This window comes from Homo sapiens, chromosome 11 (genome assembly GCF_000001405.40).
Source record: "Homo sapiens chromosome 11, GRCh38.p14 Primary Assembly".
Taxonomy (NCBI): domain Eukaryota; kingdom Metazoa; phylum Chordata; class Mammalia; order Primates; family Hominidae; genus Homo; species Homo sapiens.
Genome location: NC_000011.10, coordinates 15,628,676 through 15,646,334, shown reverse-complemented (window position 1 = coordinate 15,646,334; position 17,659 = coordinate 15,628,676). Strand labels below are relative to the sequence as shown.

Sequence of the window (17,659 nt, the reverse complement as noted above, 5' to 3'; positions counted from 1 at the left end):
GCTGATGTCTGGCACAGGATGTGAAGAAATGAGGATAGAACAAAACAAGATAATCTTGTGTTTTTATATGTTTGTTTTTATCTTAATGTATAAGCTATAAGAGGTAAGACACTCTCATCCTGTTTTACCATGGGAAAGTCAAGCAACCTCTCTGCGCCTCCATTTCTGCATCTGTAAGGGAGCAGCATTGAACTAGATCATCCTTATGTTTTCTCTGTCTCTGACTCTGAGTCTACAATTCCATCTATATGAAATGTGATGTTGACTTTTCCTAGCATTTGAAAAGGGGATAGAAGAAGCCAAATGTACATTCCCAGATGAAACCTGTTTCACCTGTGGCACCCATACGAGGCTTCGCAGGTGTATACTTGCTTTGATCTCACCCTAGTGCTGACTTCTATCTCCTACTCTGCCTCTTAATAGCAATGGGACTTTGAGCAAGACACTCAACATCTCCAAGCTTCCCTTTCGTCATCTTATGATGGGAATAAATGAGATGCTTAGCACAGTGATCAACATGTAGTAAATGTTCATTAAATTACTATTGATGTGTGTTATTAAAGTGTGTATATGACATCAAGCCTTGACAAAACCCACTCTAAGGCCAAATGATGAATTTCGTATTAGCTGGTATGTGGGGCATTTTATGATTAAGCATTCATCTGTTAGAAATTGAACCTCATGATAGCATAGAGAAGCGGATGAACTATGAGTTCTGACTCAAGCTTCAAAGGATTACATGCATTTTTTCAGGTCCCAATATATTTCTGGTACTTTGCTGTATTATGCCCTTTAGTCCTTCTAACAATCCTGTAGGTAGGTTTTGTTGGGGCTGCAGGAATGAATTGAACACAGGAAGGTGCAGAAGTAGAGCCTGCAGGGAGCAGGAGTGATCAGAATTCACAGGACTCAACCTGGACCACACCCAGCTCCTTCCCCTCTGTAAGCCACAGTCAGCAAATATCCTGATTGCACAGTGCCAAGGATGGGAGTGCTGTTGAGACTCTCACCAACCCTGCAGAGTGGGAAAAAATATGAGTACCTCCCTCATGAATTCTCAGTCTCGCTTCTGGCTTCCTGCCCCTTCCCTTCTTTGACTTCTTCCAGGCAAGGCTTGGGCATAAATAATCTGTACCTGAGCATGAATAAACACTATGACTGGCTTCCCTCTCCCAGGGGATGTTTTGCTTTTGCAGCTGGATCTCTCATATCTTCTGGACCCAAACTCCAAGGCTCCACATTCCTACCTAATTAGAATCCAAAGGCCTTAACCCAGCACGTGGGCTCTTCCCCAGCTTCCCTCCCTCTCTCCCTCCTACCTGAGTCAACTTGCCTGTGGTTGTCTTCTCTGATTCCAGCCCGAAGACCCTGGTCTACTTAACCCCTCATCATACTCCCCATCTCCAGGATTCTACTGATGCTGCTTGCTGCTTCTGCTGGAATACACATACCCAAATACTGCCTCTACTTTAAGTCTCAGTTCAGAGATCACCTCCTCCAAGAAGGCCTCTGTGATTTTACAGCTGGAAATAGTTTTTCTCTCAGAGAAATCATTACAGCAATGGTTCTCAACTTTGAATATGAATTTTTTGCACATGAATCAGCCCAGAGATTTTGTTAAAATGCAGATTCACAGAGAGTAGGTCGGGGATGGGATCTGAGATTCTGCATTTCCAACTTGCCCACCCATGTTGTTTGCTGATGCTTCTGGTCTGTGAGTTATCCATTGAGTAGCAAGTCATCCCCCAATCTGGCTGTGTATCAGAATCACTTGACAAGCTTATTGAAACTGTGGATCCTGGGGCCAGAGGTTGATCCAGGTTTTGTGGGGCCTGAACTCGTTCCATATAGAGAGTCCTTTTTAAAGTATACATATAAAGTTATGAATAAGAAATTGCCACCTGTGGTCCCAACTACTTGGAAAGCTGAGGTGGGAGGATCACTTGAGCCTGGGAGGTGGAGGTTGCAGTGAGCTGAGATGGCACCACTGCCCTCCAGGCTGGGCAAGAGAGCAAGACCCTGTCTTAAAAAAAGGGGAATTGCTGGAGCTTCTCCCAAGTCCCTGGAACAAGCTGTGCAAGTGAAGGGTCTTGAAGTATAAACTCCACTAGCTGCAAGGTAAATCCATTTTTGCCTGGGGCCCATACGACAGCAGAATCTTGGGAGGCAGGAACTATATGTGTGTTTTGTTTTGTTTCATTTTCAGAATTTCTCCAGGTTATTCATAGTGACCAATCCTAGACCCACCCCCACGCCCCCTCTAAGAATAGAGCACTTGAACTCCTGCCCATCCACTTACCTCCCTCTATTCCTTCCATCTCCAAAGCCACTGTGCCAGGCACTGGGATAGACCCCACAGAAACAAGGATCAAGGACAGGCAGGCTCCTGCCATCAGCAAGCTCATGGTCTACTGGAAAACTCGTGACAGCTTCACAAAATGAACTCCTATCAGCTGTTTGCCCAAGTGCTGCAGGGATCAGAGGAGAGAACAAAACTCAGTCCTGATAAAAAGACAAAACTGGGAGGTCTCCCAGAGGGGCTGACATCGAGCGAGCTCTTGCCAAATTACTGGGGCTTCTCCAAGCAGAGGGAATAGCCTGTGCAAAGGCAGGGCAGCCTGAGAGAATATGTTCTCTTCAAGAACTAGCCAATCAAATCCACGTGTGGCAGAAGAGCAGGGTATATGTTGGGGGCAGGGGGCAGGGCTGTGAGGGATGGGTCTGGAGAGGTGGCTAGGCTCTCAGGACTTGGGGCTCCTTGAGAGTGGATGGTGGGCAGTGGATGGTTTTCAGGCAGGGGACTAGCATGATCAGGTCCTTTTATTACACGTGCATGCATTACTTTCAACTTCCAACTTCCAACTATAACTAGTTCTTTCCATGACATCACATTATTAGATCCAGCGACCTTTATTTCTTTTTTAAAAACATCTTTAGTTCTTTAATGACCATTTCTTTTAAAGTAATTGCTAAATGTCAGATAGCCTGTGAAGTATTTTCATCTTATTTGTTCCTCCTACAAACTCTGGGAGGCATAACAAATGATGTCTATTTTTTTATAGATATATAAACTGAGGATAGGAAAGTTTAAGGGACTTGGCCAAAGTAACAGAAATAGAAAATCTGAAAAGCCTTAAGACCCATAGACTAGAATGGTGCCAGGCACACAGCAAGGACCGAAAATGTCTGGTGAATTAAGAGATGAATGCTGAGGTTAAAAGAGCTTCACTTGTTAAGGTGATTTAGGGAAGCACGTGCCAGTAAATTTGAGGGCTGTGGGGCCTCCTTTCTGTTTCCCTAGAAATTCTAGGTTCTTGCTCCTGGGGGAGAAAAATTCTTCCTAATATCCATGCATGTGCCCTCCTACCGTTCCCTTCCAGAAGCCATGCCTTCCTCATGCACTCTGCCTCAGTTAGAGAAAAGATACAGCAGAAGCACAGACCATGGAACTTAGTGAAGAAAGTTATTTGGTGATTTTATGTGACTGGGTGGCAGGTGGATTTTAATAGGGCTTTTTGAAGCCATTGCATTCAATACAATTCAATTCTATTGTTCCAATTAGGGCAAATGAACTTGACTTTAAAAATATTTAGTGAGTGCCTAATATTGCTACTGGCAAGTGAAAGTGAGAGAATCCCCAGGATGCTGTAGGCCTCTGCAAACAGGAGTTGAACTTGACATAGATCCTTGATTTTAGTTTTCCTTCTGGAATACATTCTAATCTATAGCAAAATGTGGCTCCTCGTTCATGGTTGGGACCTTCAGCCATTTCCTCCATTGAGTTCAGCCTCATTTCCCTGCTCTCCTTGCCAAAAATGATGATGGTCATGACATTTCATAAAGCACGTGACAGTATTTTCTGGACTTGACAATAGTACAGGAGAAAAGAGAAGTTAGATCATTATGATTCCTCTCCTACAGAAGTTCAGAGAAGTTCAAAAACCTGCACAGTTAGGAAGTTGTGGCACTGGGGCCAGAACCCAATTTTCTAATGCCTGGTGGGGACAATTCCAATATGACATTACTGCTAGGTCACCAATCTGGCAGTTAATTAACATCTCTGTGATGACATGTTCACATGTTATTCTCTCATCTGCTCACACTCATTTTTTTCTTTCCAAATAAGCTGTAAACAAGTTATAGGAAGGAAGCTATGATTTCACTCCTACTCTCTTATATGCCAAACACTGTGAGATATTATGGGGGGTACTAAGGTTACAATTACGAACAAAATAAACATACTTCCTGTCCTCTGAGGGTGTATCATCTAACTGAATAATCATATTTTATGACTTTTTGAATTTTTACTATGTCTTAAGTATTGCATTCTCCACTTTACAGATGAGTACATTGAGATCCAGAAAGTAACCAGGAACTTGTCTAGAAGGGGAGAGCTGGGATTCCCATGGATTGCTGGATTGCTCCTTCCCAGAAGCTGGCCCAGGGCTGAGCCAACACAGTATGCTATGGCAGTTTAAACACATGGCTTTTGAAGTCAGACAGATTCAAATCTCAGCTCAGCCAATTACTTGTGTGATCTTAGACAAGCTATTTCCCTTTAAACCTCAGTTTCTACATCTGTAAAGTAGGGGTCATGACAACCGGCTCCCAGTTATTTTGTTACATGGGTCAGTTGAAAAAATGAAGAATGTGAGACTCTTAAATGAATACCTGGTGCAGCACAAGGGCTCAAGAAACAGTAGCTATTCTCACTATTACTATTAATCATTGGCAGACACAGCACTACTCTGCCTGCAGTTACGTGCATGATGTTTTACTAGTTTCTTTTTCCCCCCGAGTCGTTGAGAGTAAAATACTCTGTCCTCCCTGCTTCAGCTCTCCACATTCCAGAAACAGAGACCACTTACACAAGCAGCAACAGGGTCCATTTCTGTGATCAGTGGAGCCAATGGCCCGCTCGTTGGAAACACCAGCAAGCAAAGTGTCAGGACTCAGAAGCCGCCAACAGGCTTCAGGACCCTGCCAAGCCCTCGTGCCCACTGGAGCAGCCAGGGGGAGGGGGTGACTATGGCATAAACACACGTTTGCTTTCATTTGGCTTAGCTGACTGTGTGTTTTGTTAAACAAATTTAGGTTTGGAAAAGATTATTTTTGGTACACTGCTGCATAATTAGATGAATTTTCATGAGTTTATTCTTGAAATAAACTTTGAAATTGTCCGTGTTTTACTGTTTTTTAATCATCTGCAGATACTGTTTTTTGAGACTTAGCATGAAAAAAAAACCTTGTTACATATCAGTTTAATTTAGATTCAAATAAAATAATTTTTTGAATTTGCAGCAACAACAAGTCTGCGAAAGTGGTTGTAACTGGTGCTGAGTTGTTTGAGGATCAAGATAATTACAGTATAAAGGATAAGAGAGAATATAATATCCTGGCATCCAGTGCCTATTCAGCTAATCCCCAGCCCTTGACAGATGTTCAAACACAGTATTTTTAAAAGCTGACTTTTAAAAAAACAGGGCAATTCACTTATTAGATATAAACAACATGATAAGAAATTCAAAGTCTGACATCCATTACGAACCGTCCATGTTGAGAAGCGTGAGAGACAAGGCAAAAAGTCAAATGCACTGTGCTCATTGCCGTAATGGGTGTCCAAGCAGGGCTGGGATTGCAGAAAGACCAGGCCCCCACTTTGCCAGGGGCACAGGTTTCATCTGTACCAGCCCCTGAGAAGCAGAGCCCCAAAGGCAGCTTCGATGATGCTGTAAGCCTACGCAGCAGCCTCTCTGGCGGCTGCTTGAAGCCGAGGCTGCCAGCAGCCAGCACCAGGATAGTTTGGCCGGCTTTAAACAATAGCCGCATAGTGATAGGTGGCCCATAAAGATGGCGAGGCAGATGGAGGGTTAATGAGTGGGGAGTCTGTTGGCTCAAAGATCGCTCTTGTCGCTGGCCTCTGACACTCCTCCACTCTCATTCATCAAACATTCTACTGAGCCTGAGTATCTGTTGGGCATCAAGGCTGACTGCTAGCCTCTGGATTCAGAGATGAATAAGACCTCATTCATGCCCTGCCTCCAAAATCCTACAGTGCAGCAAAGGAGATAAATTATATCCATTGACAACAACTACAATTATTATTATCATTATCATTATTAAACTTTATTTATATGCTAAGCTTAATTCTAAGTGCTCTTCCTAATTCCCACAATAATCTTATGGAATTGGCATTATTATTATGCCCATCTTACAGACGAGGAAGCTATGGCACAGAATGAGTAAGTATGTGATGAAGTTATTTCTGACTGTGGCTCATAGTAGTGGTGGAGGAGGAACCACAGAAGGCTTTATGGAGAGGGTAGGGGTTTGGATTAAGTCTACATGGACAGTGGGGTTTGAAATGTGGAGATCCAGGAAAAGGACATTCAAGGCAGATAGAGCAATGAAGAGAGAAGAGCAAAAAATATTATCTGGTGAAGTAAGACATCAAGCTGCACTGAGGATGGCATGAAATTGTCTTTTTTGCCTTCCTATTGAAAAGAAATTCTGTATAAAAAGCCCTTGGCATCCTGGGAAGCACAGGCTCAACTGTGGATGCTGATGCTTCTTCCCTTTCTGTCAAATATTTTATCTGGGGTCCTTAAAACTGCCTCTGTAATAGCAGTGGCTCCAAGGCGGCCAAGTGCAGAGGTTCAGGGGAAACTCCAGCAGGTGCTTCTCTCCTGACCTGGGTCTGGACATGTGGGTCCAGGCCCAGGAAGAGCCAGCCTTCAGCATCAGCGGGTGCCAGTACTGTGGATTATTCCAAGTGCAAGCACATTCAAAGGCAGACCACCTGTTCCACTTCTTTCTTGGTTTTCATTGGATGCTTCAATGATACATTTCATTTCACTACCTCTAATCTCTGTTTAGTATTGTCTTAAGAATTACCTTATCCACATAACTTTAATTAACTAATTTATTTATCTTTAGAGACAGTCTTGCTCTGTCACCCAGGCTGGAGCGCAATGTTGTGATCATGGCTCATTGCAGCCTGGAACTCCTGGACTTAAGTGATACTCCTGCCTCAGCCTCCCAAGTAGCAGAGACTATAGGCACATACCACCATGCTCAGCTAAGTTTTCTTTCTTTCTTTCTTTCTTTCTTTCTTTCTCTTTCTTTCTTTCTTTCTTTCTCTTTCTTTCTTTCTTTCTTTCTTTCTTTCTTTCTCTCTCTCTCTTTCTTTCTTTCTTTCTTTCTTCTTCTTTTTTTTTTCTTTAGAAACAGGGTCTTGCTATGTTGCCCAGGCTGGTGTCAAACTCTTGACCTCAAGCGATCTTCCTGCTCCCAAAGTGCTGGGACTGCAGATGTGAGCCACCACGCCTGGCTCAACTTTAAAACAATTGCTGAAAAGGATCTTCTTTCAGAAAATATTCCATTTTCTCCCACCCCACCCACCCCTAACCTGCTCACACAGCACATTTTTCCATGAGGACATGCATGCAAGGCAAGGGAGAGGGGTCTGAAGAAGACCATGCCAAGAGCCTGCTCTTCATCCCCTGCTGTAGGGTGGCCAGGGCTGACACACTTTAGAATTCAAATGGGCCTACACTAGACTGGCTAGCTGTCATGGCCTCAGAGCCAAGGAGAAAGTGGTCAGCTGCTGGGTGTGACCTGTACTCCAGGAGTTTGCCAGACAAGTATTACTTGAGTATTTTCTAGAGACCAGATGTCAGCCACTCATGAGAGACAGTTTGTGTTGGGCTGTTTTAGCTCTTGCCCAAGAGGGCCATCAGGAGTGGGTGTGGGAGCACAAAGCAGGAAGAAAGGATTAACTTCTCTATCTCATGCTTACCCTGGGCTCCACCTCAAGGAAGCATGGGTCCTCACTCTGGTTTCAGCCACACACTCTCTTGGCAGCCTTCAGAAATGTGCAAGGCTTCCAAAGAGCAGCCTCTTTCAAGGAACTTCTCAGCCCTGGCTTAGTTCTGCGGGAGGAGTTGAGCCTGGGCAGGGTGCACCAGGGCTGCTCTCCTGCTCCTTCAGCTCTCCTGAGGTGGCCTCTGTTCAGGATGTCCTCATGCTCCTTGGGGTTCCTGAAACAACCACAGGATTCAAGGATGTGGGGCTGTGGTCATTGCCCTCTCACCCTTTTTACATGTTTCTTTCTGACCAGACATCTCAGATTCTCTGAACTCAGGCTCAATTTCAAAAGCTTCATGTATTTTCTCCCCATATAATCATATTAACTAGACTTCATGGAGTGTTTTTCAGGTACCTGATGCTGCTCTAAGAACTTTACATATATTATCTAATTTAATTCTCACCCAGTCTTAAGGTCTGTAAGTTGAGATGCTAGTACATGCCTATCCTTCCCCATATTTAAAAGAGATTTCATTAAGGATGAAGATCAAATGACAGACAGACTGAACAAATGAACGAATGATGGAAGGAAAGAAAGAAGGTCGCCAAGAACATGAAAAGAACTGCTGAGTTGAAAGTGAAGGAACCACTCAGATACTTACTAGTTGGGAGTGACTTAGAGCAAAATCTGTAAGCCTTTGATTTCCCTTTGTATAAAGGAGTTATTGGCACTAAGATAAAGGAAGGTATAAGATGTGAAAGTACTTTAATTTGTTTATAGTAAGTGCTCACTTGTTGTTAAATGCATAAATATATATATATATATATATAATATATATATATATATATATATATATTTTTTTTTTTTTTTTGCCTAATACAGGGACAGATTCCACTTTTCTGCATGGCCTGTCTTGGGGAGGGCATCAGAATTCCTGGAAGCAATATAAACATTCTGATGTCTCCTTACACAAATACAATTAGAACCACAGCTTTTGATTATTTTTAAAAATGGCTGTCCAGTCTGTGCTTGATCACCTTCAGTAACAGGGAGCTCACTACTTCTTGAGACATTTTAATCCATGGTCATGTCACACAGTCTTCATGGTTGACCAGTTGTTCTTTGCATTGGGCTGAAATTTCCTGTGACTGCCTCACTGGACAAGAAACAGGGCTTTCTTATCCTGGGATTCAGCTCTTTTCAAATTGGAATTGAAAAGTATAGATTCATAGAATGTCAGCGTTTAAAGAGACTTAGAAACCCCCTATTCTGGAGCTTTAATTCACAGGAAATCAGGAAATCTCTATGCGAGAGAGAGCATTTCAGTTGGTTGGTAAGCGGAAAATTCTTTATTCAGCCTTTGTCCAGAGGGTCGTAGTGAATAATTTCTCTTTGGAATATATTAAGAGGAAAGGCACTTTGGCTTCATGTGTATGTACAAGATGCCTATTTCAGAAATGAATTATTTCTCCCAAAACATGTTCTGTGGTGATTGTGGTAAATTGTTGCAGTAATGGATTCGAATTGTTCACATCATCCTACACCCTTGGGAAGTTCCCTTTATACTATTGTTGTGGCTGTGTGACTTGCTTCGGCCATTGTGATGCAAGAGGAATCTTGAGAAGTGTTTGTGTATTGAGACATCCTTTCTTGCATCTCCCATAACCCCATGACTGCCTGCTCTAGCTTGATGAATGTTGCTCCATGGCCCCACCAATAGCCAGCTAATCCCCAGAAACAGAGTCACCTCACTGACTGGCAGTTAACTGCAGACACATGAGTGAACCCATTTGAGACTAGCAGAAGAACTGCCCAGCTGAGCCCAGACCAAATTAGCAACCCTCAGAGTCATCAGCTAAATAAATGGTTGTTGGTTTAAGCCACTAAAGTTTGAGATGGTTTTTTATGCAGTCCTCCTCCAAATAAAAGCATACGGACCATTTCTCTAACTAGCTTGTCAGCTCAGAACAACCTTGCAATTGACAAGACCACTGGTTACAAAGTTTAAAGCTGAACAAGGAAGAGTTCTTTTACTTGAGATTTTACTCTTCAATTAGTAAAAATTTAACAACCATGTTAAATGCACCACCTAACAACAAGGAAATATTCCAAGAAATGCATCAGTAGGTGATTTTGTCATGGTAGGAATATCATACAATGTACTTAGGCAAACCTAAATGGTATAGCCTACTACACACCTAGACTATACGGTATGGCCTATGCTCCTGGGCTACAAACCTGTAGAGCATGTTACTATACTGAATACTGTAGGCAATTGTAACACAATGGTAAGTTTTGTGTATCTAAATATATCTAAACATAGAAAAGGTATAGTAAAAAATACAGTACTATAATCTTATGGGACCACCATTGTATATGTGGTCCATCATTGACCAAAATGGACCATGCATCATGACCATGGATGCAATACATGACAGTACATGTCCATTCTAAGGTCCTGAGATCTTGCTGAAGGTCACAGAGCCAGCTGGTCATCAGAGAAATCAGAATTTAAACCCAAGTATGCCTGGTTCCAAAGTTTACGCTCTAATCTTTTCTAGGAAGCCTACCAGATCTTTCATTAGGGCCTTTATCTCCATAGAGCCTATGGGCTAGGCTCCTGACTTCCTTATGAAGCCTACTTTGCTACCACCACACAAGACTGAGACCCACCATGATGGAGCTGTCACAGAAGGAAGGGGAAGAAGGAAATTATGCCATACTCTGCACTAATAATTATAATCATTAACACTGACCTCTAATTATTAACCACTAACTACGTGCTAGACATTCTTCTAGCACCCTACGTGTATTATCTGATTGAACCCTCACCACAGTCAACTATAGGTATTACTAACCCCATTTTACAAATATTTAACTAAAATGGCCAAGTAAGTAAAGAGCAAGAATTTAAACCCAGGTCAACTGGTATTGGAGCCAAGATGTTCACTGCTGTGCTGTGCTGCCTCTTGACATGATCCAGGGGTTAGGAGATTTACTTAGGTGGGCTTCTGAAAACCAGGTAGTCAGAAAATCTGCAAGGTTATTTGCAGATACTAGAGCCAGTGCTTACTGCTCTGCGTCTGGGTTGTTTAGGGCATTGGAGAGTTTATTGCTTTTTTCTGTTCATTATTTTTTAAACGGTCTCTGTATGTTCTAAAGACTGCTCCCCAAAGGCCGGAAGAGAAACACAGTGGCCAGTCCTTGGTCCTCAGAGCCCCATAAAAGAATGCAAGCATATCTCAACGTATTTTTATCACTGTGGTAGTTGCCGTGCTAGGTCACCTCCATATGGTGTACTTCGCATGTTCCTTGCCACCACCTTGAGACATCAGTGTGATTATCCCCATTTTACAGATCAAATTAATAGTAAACCCCAATTGATAGAACTCTGGATAAACCGTATTTTCCTATAATTGGTACTTTTCCAGGGTTGCAAAATAATTTAGCTCAGTAAACATTTTTCCTCCAATTTTGTTTGCGTCATTCATTTACTTATCAAACCCTTTTCCACAGAGGTAAAATCCCATTAAGAGAAAACTCTAGGGATATCCAAATTGTTTTCTTGACAGAAATTCTGATAAGATGAGTAAGTGACTGCAATTCTTGTTACCAACCTATGAGACCCTGTAATGCAAACGGGTGAAATGTCTTGGTCACAGAGTTCCACCTCCAGTTGAGTGAGTGGACCCTTTAATATCTGTGATTTACCATAAGGATTCTCTAACCCCACCCCCAGAGTGTCTTCATTTTCTTGTTGCCCTTCAAGTTCTGTTGGTTTTGTTCAGATGTTTTTAATGAGTTTGTCCTGCGGCAGCCAGGGAATGGCTAACAAGTCTTCTGGGCCCTTAAAAACCCATTAGAATGTTATTTCTTACAAAGTGAAAAACTAACCTCATGCCAGATGCAAATAGGGCTCAAGCCATCAGAAATAAAGTTTGATTCTGAAGGAAAATTCCACTGAGACATGAAAGTTCTTCAGCTTGGGGAAAACAGTCTTTGATGTCTAGTCTGACTAGGCAGTCTAATACGATTATTAAGAGCATGAGTGTTGCAGAAGTTGGAATGGGTTCAAACCCACTCTCTTTTATATACTAGCTCAGTGATCTAGGGCATGTTGCTTAACCTCTCTGTGTTTCAATTATCTCACCTGAAAAACTTAGGAATAAAAATAATACTTACCACATAAAACTATTGGAGGATTAAATAAGAAATTATAGGTGTAGCAGTTAAGATTATATTCAAGTATAATCACAAAAGCAACAGAAAAGTAACTTAAATTAGTAGAGGCTTATTCCTCCCTCATTTAAAATAATTTTAAAGATTGGCAATCCAGTATTGACAAGGCAGTTCCACGGTTGTCAGGAGCCTAAGGCTACCTCTACTTTTCTACTCCACCATTTTTAGCACTGACTTTCATTCTCAAGGTCGCCTCATGCACCTCATGGTTCAAAATGGCTGCCAGGTACCAACTCTCAGTCCACATTCTAGACCAGATGCAGAAAGAAAGGTGGGGGGCCAATATGATGAAACCCCGTCTCTACTAAAAATACAAAAATTAGCCGGGCGTGGTGGCATGCACCTGTAATCCCAGCTACTCGGAAGGCTGAGACAGGAGAATTGCTTGAACCCAGGAAGCAGAGGTTGCAGTGAGCTGAGATCGCACCACTGCACTCCAGTCTGGGCAACAAGAGCGAAACTCCGTCTCCAAAAAAAAAAAAAAAGAAAGAGTGGAGGGACAGAGGACATGAAGTCATACCTCTCACATGGGTTATTTCAGGACTTTTCCTGGTAGTTCCAACCAACACTTCCTTAGATCTTTTGGGTCCTCCTGAACTGCCAAGGAAACAGGGAAATGCTGATCTGTGGTTAGACATTTGCTACTCACAATAAAAATTTGGGATTTTGTTAGTAAAGAAGGGGAGAATGGAAGTGGATAGTTAACTAGCAGTCTTAGCTGTACCACTCAAAGTACTTACAACAGTGCCTGTTACATACTTAGCTATAAATTTGTGCCCGAAATAGGAGGTAGCCTCTGTATTGAATTGAACATAGCCTCTGGAGTTGAGCAGACTTGAATTAAACCCTACCTCCATCCTTAACTGGGGATGACATCGTAAGCAACTTATTGAATTTACCGATGAGCCTCAGCATTCTTGGTTATCAAATGTAGTTGTACATATTGGCCTTTTGGGATTTCTGGGAAAATAAAGTGAGAATGCGTATTTAAAGGGCCTGGCATATAGTAGATGTTTAGTAAATGTAAGTTCCCCTCTCTATGTCAACCCATTAAGGCTTAGACACTTCAGTGCAAAACAAGGATCAGAAGAGTAATCCCCACCCTGACCTGGGAAGTGGTCAGAAACCTCCCAGAAAACAAAGCCACGCTTTGCCTCTCAGCTGCCTGCTCTCTGCCCACAAAGTGCTAAAGTCAGTGAAGCCAACCCTGTAATCAAACAATACCAGATACTTTAATTATAGTTTTTTGCCATGATCTGAATCACTGTTTTCATGTGCATTGCTGTGAATTAATCTCTTAACAGTGGTATTAATTCCTTGATGCATAAAGAAGTGTTTTAGCTACTGAGATATTCCACAGAGAAGGGAATGACATTCACATTTAATTAGCTCCTACTCTCTGCCAGGCCCTGAGCTGAGTGCTTTATAAATCTTATGTCATTTTTTTTCACAATAACTCTGTTTAATAGCTATTACCCTCCCATTTTATAAGCGAAAGCATAGAGACTCAGAAATGTTAGCAACCTGGCCAATGGCACAGTTTATGCAAATCCCAGAACTGAGATTTGAACCTATGTTTGTCTAATTCCAAAGCTCATGCTCTTGTCATATATCCTGCTATCTTGCTGCCTTCTCAGACCCTAGACCAACCAGTCTTTAGAACTGGACTATTGTGGCTGGGCACGTTGGCTCATGCCAGTAATCCCAGCACTTTGTGAGGCTGAGGCCGGCGGATCACCTGAGGTCAGGAGTTTGAGACCAGCCATGCTGGCCACATGGTGAAACCCTGTCTCTACTAAAAATACCAAAATTAACCTGGCATGGTGGCATGTGCCTGTAGTCCCAGCTACTTGGGAGGCTGAGGCAGGAGAATCACTTGCACCCGGGGGACGGAGGTTGCAGTGAGACAAGATCATGTCTGTGCACTCCAGCCTGGGCAACAGAGTGAGACTCTGTCTCAAAAAAAAAAAAAAAAGAATTGGGACTATGGAGCTAGCTGGTAGAAGAAAGAAAAGAAGACTGGGCTGCAATTTGGCTTAGTTCTTCTGAGTCCTGGTTTTGATCTCACAGCTCAGAGACCTGTCCCTCTGGGGCTTCATTTTCCTTTTCTGTGAAATAGTTGGCATTAGGGATTTAATGGGATAGTCTATGATCTCCCCTGAACCTCTGAGAGTCAACAGTTATAGAGTGAAGGTATGCACCCTCATATCTGTGTGCTCCAGTAAATATACTTAACTATACCTGACTTGTTGAAAATAAAGAAAAAATAAGATGTAGTCTCTATCTTAGGAAAGTTAAAGTGAAGTTAGGAGAAAGAGCAGCAGATTTTATGTAAATGTATGAAAATACTTGGAGGTGTTTCTAAAAAATAAATCCATCCAAAGGTCTATGTCAGAGGGTAGTAGGCTTCTTGTCCCTGTCGGAAATCCTATATATATGGCTGGATCACCATATAATAATGGTGCTATTACAATATTGAGCTTTTAGGCAAAAGGATATCTGAGACCAAACACCCACCTAATACATGGTCATTAGAATAGAATGCAAAGATATAGACATAGCCAAATTGAAAGTCCCCATTCTCACTGTCTTTCCCCCAATTCCAGTCCCTAGGGGCAACAAATATAGTGGACTTCCCTCCAAATCCCTTTTCAAGATACTGTCTTACTAATCACATATCCTGAAATTTCTATTCAGCATGAACATCTTTCCATGGTGAGTCCTGAATGACTGACTTCATTCCTTTTACCAGCGACACGATGTTCCACGAATGAAAGGGACAAAGTTCATTACTACAGATATATTTTACGCATCCTGTTCTTTCCCATTCCTCCATCTCACCTTCATCTGCTAAAGACACTTTTTAAATTATTGGCTCAGATTAATTTTTAAGCTTGTTTATGGTGCTGTTTTCTTAAACATCCATATACAGCTTTAAAAATAGACATGGTCACCTCTGTCAGCATTTTCTCTTCTGACTTTGAACTTTCATAGCTTGCTTCAGAAAATATCATTCTGTCTTATTTAGCTATAGTCACAATAAATCTGTATAACAGACCACCCAAAAGTGTAGTGGCTTTAAAATGCAATCATTTATTCTCATTCATATGTCTGAGGATTGAGTTTTAGCTGATACCACTTGGGCTTGGCTGGGCTTCGCTTTAAGCTGTAGCTTGGGATCAGTTCTGCTCCAGGTGGCCCTTGTCCTCCTGGGATCAGTGAACTAGCTGGGCATGTTATCTTCATGGTGATTGCTGATGCACAAAATACTTTATGTGTCTACTAACATTCTACTGGAAAGCAAGTAGCAGGGCCAACACCAGAGACCTGGGGTAGAGGATATTTAGATCCCACTGGGAAAAGAGGGAAATAAATATCGCATGTCCATGATTTTTAAACAATAATTTCATATTCTTTAGTTGTTTTATAGTTTTGTTTTGTATAGATCTTTATCTGTACTGATTTATATATGCAAGTGTGTGTGTATATGTGCACATTAGAGATCTAGTGTTAAACAAGGGAGTGAGCATAAGATATGGTGTCAGGATGTGGGAAGTGAACTACAGCATCCTCTGCTAATGATGGAGAATGATGAAACCACCAGATCACTACTTTCCAAACTGGAAGGCTGGTGCTCCATGGGGAGGGGCTTATTTGGAATTTCATTACAGTTTATTGATCATAGAATATATGATGTGGGTTTAGGTCTGGAAGAGCTTATCAAATTAAGAGTCCTATATTAGATGAGTTTTAGGGCTTTAATGGTGGACAATCTTACCCGGGTTTTAGCCCTGACAAAATACGGCCACTTTTTTTTTAATAGAAAACCTACAGGAAGGCAGTGGTAATAGACAAGGGATAATTTCAGGTTCAAATATAAGAAATAAAAAAGCAAAAAAGAAACAATCAGATATGCTGAGGTGCAACTTTCTTCATTGTGTCTGTCCTGGGAAGAATGACAATGCACCTTCCCTTCCCTTCCCTTCTACACCAGGCTTCAGGTGTGAGGAGGCTGTTGAATGTCTGTGAGCAGGACAGAACAAATTATGGGGCTCCTCAGGCAGGTAAGATTCTGACTTTCCTTCAAACCCACAGACTTGAAATATTCGTTCAACACTTACTGGGGAAGCTGATCACTACAGGGTAAAGAGTGAAGAGTGCAGACTACCAGGGGTGGGGCTCTGCTTCTCCTCTACCACACTGAACTATTCCGCCTAGCCCCAAACGTGCATACCTCCCTTAGCAAAATGAAGCCCCCCAGCTAACCAAACCCACTATTCTCAGGATGCTGTTCAGCACAGGGCATTGGGAAAGGTCCTACGCTTTACTGAGAGGCTTATCAAATATTCTTTTGTTTTGGAGCTATCCTAAGGTATATCTGTCTCGCTGCTGCCCCCTGCAGATTGCTATCCAATTCAACAGCTCTCTATAGTACAACACAGCCACTGACTATTGCCCTAGAGAGATGGAAGCCTCAGAAGTCTGAGAAATCAGCTACAGTTGCCTTCTAACTTGGGCTAATGCTAGGGCTTACTCTATTAAACAACACAGCGGCTGTCTGTGGCAGGAGCCTAACAAAATGGTAATAGAATATCTGGGTGTTTCCTCCAGCTTAGAGACCCGGTTTACATACTTTCCCTGTGTGATTCTATGTGCCCCATCTCTGTTCAGTGCCTCCATGCAAAGTCAAAGCCAGCAGGAAATCTTCCCGGGAATGTCACCATTTATTTCTCTTTTTTATATAGCTTATCTTTCAGGAAATGCAGAAAGATTGCAGAAATAAAGCATCTTGGCCTGTGGGATTTTGTGGAGCAGGGCTTGTCAGTCTTGAAGGCTTAAAGAGTTCAGGCACGCACTTCCAAGAGTGTGTGCCAGGCCTCGTATCTTCTCTGTATAGCTTTGTGCCTTTCAATCATACACAGTATTCTCTTTGAGAGGACTTCTCTCCAATACAATTTCCTTGATTTCCCTCCATTTCTCAAAACCTTTTAGCATTCCGTTTGGTACCCCTTGAAGACTGGCATCTTGGGCAACTTCCTACTGATCTATTTCTCCATTGCTCAAGGTGCAACCTTACAGGGTTGTCAGGGCCTCTGTAGCGAAAGTTTCTACCCTTTCAGCATCCCTGTGAAGGCTCAAAAGGAGCCCTGTGATTAGAATTGGGGTGGACAGGGAAATCATAGAGGTCTCAGCATTCAACCATTTTTGCTGAGTTCTCTCAGTATCCCGGCTGGGAGAGGAACCCCTCAGGACCGAAAGCTTGGCATATGCAGTGTCCCGTGATGAATGCACAGTGCAGTCCATCACAAATTTGTTCCCTTTATTGAGAAGAGTAAGTGATCTAATACTTTTCATGCGGCTGTGGAAGTGCTTAACTGTGACACTTTGTAAACAGACTAACTGGCTGAAATAAGAGAAGCAAAGGATTCCTTCTGGTTTAGCAAATGGCTATATTTGGAATTATGGATTTATTGATAAAGGCACTGCCTTAATATTCTGTCTTCTGGATCCCATTTAAATCATCTTTTCTTGACCCACAATTATTTGCTTTGATCAAGTATTGGTCAGGATCCTTTTAGTTGCAAATGACAGAAACCTAACCCCTGCCAAATT

At 42.3% G+C, this 17,659-nt stretch overlaps 1 long non-coding RNA gene across 5 annotated transcripts in view; it reads right to left on the bottom strand.

The window, feature by feature from the left end:
- The window catches only part of LINC02751 (long intergenic non-protein coding RNA 2751), a 152,600-nt gene that overhangs the window by 59,038 nt on the left and 75,903 nt on the right, over positions 1–17,659 (bottom strand). For 3 of the 5 annotated variants that reach the window (NR_169502.1, NR_169503.1, NR_169509.1), the window contains one exon: positions 2,300–2,468. The exons of 1 other annotated variant lie outside the window; for it this stretch is intronic. This is a non-coding gene — a long non-coding RNA (long intergenic non-protein coding RNA 2751). Of the gene's footprint in view, positions 1–2,299; positions 2,469–7,798; positions 8,040–17,659 lie in introns of all 5 variants that reach the window. One more of the 5 variants, NR_169508.1, reaches the window with a different exon arrangement.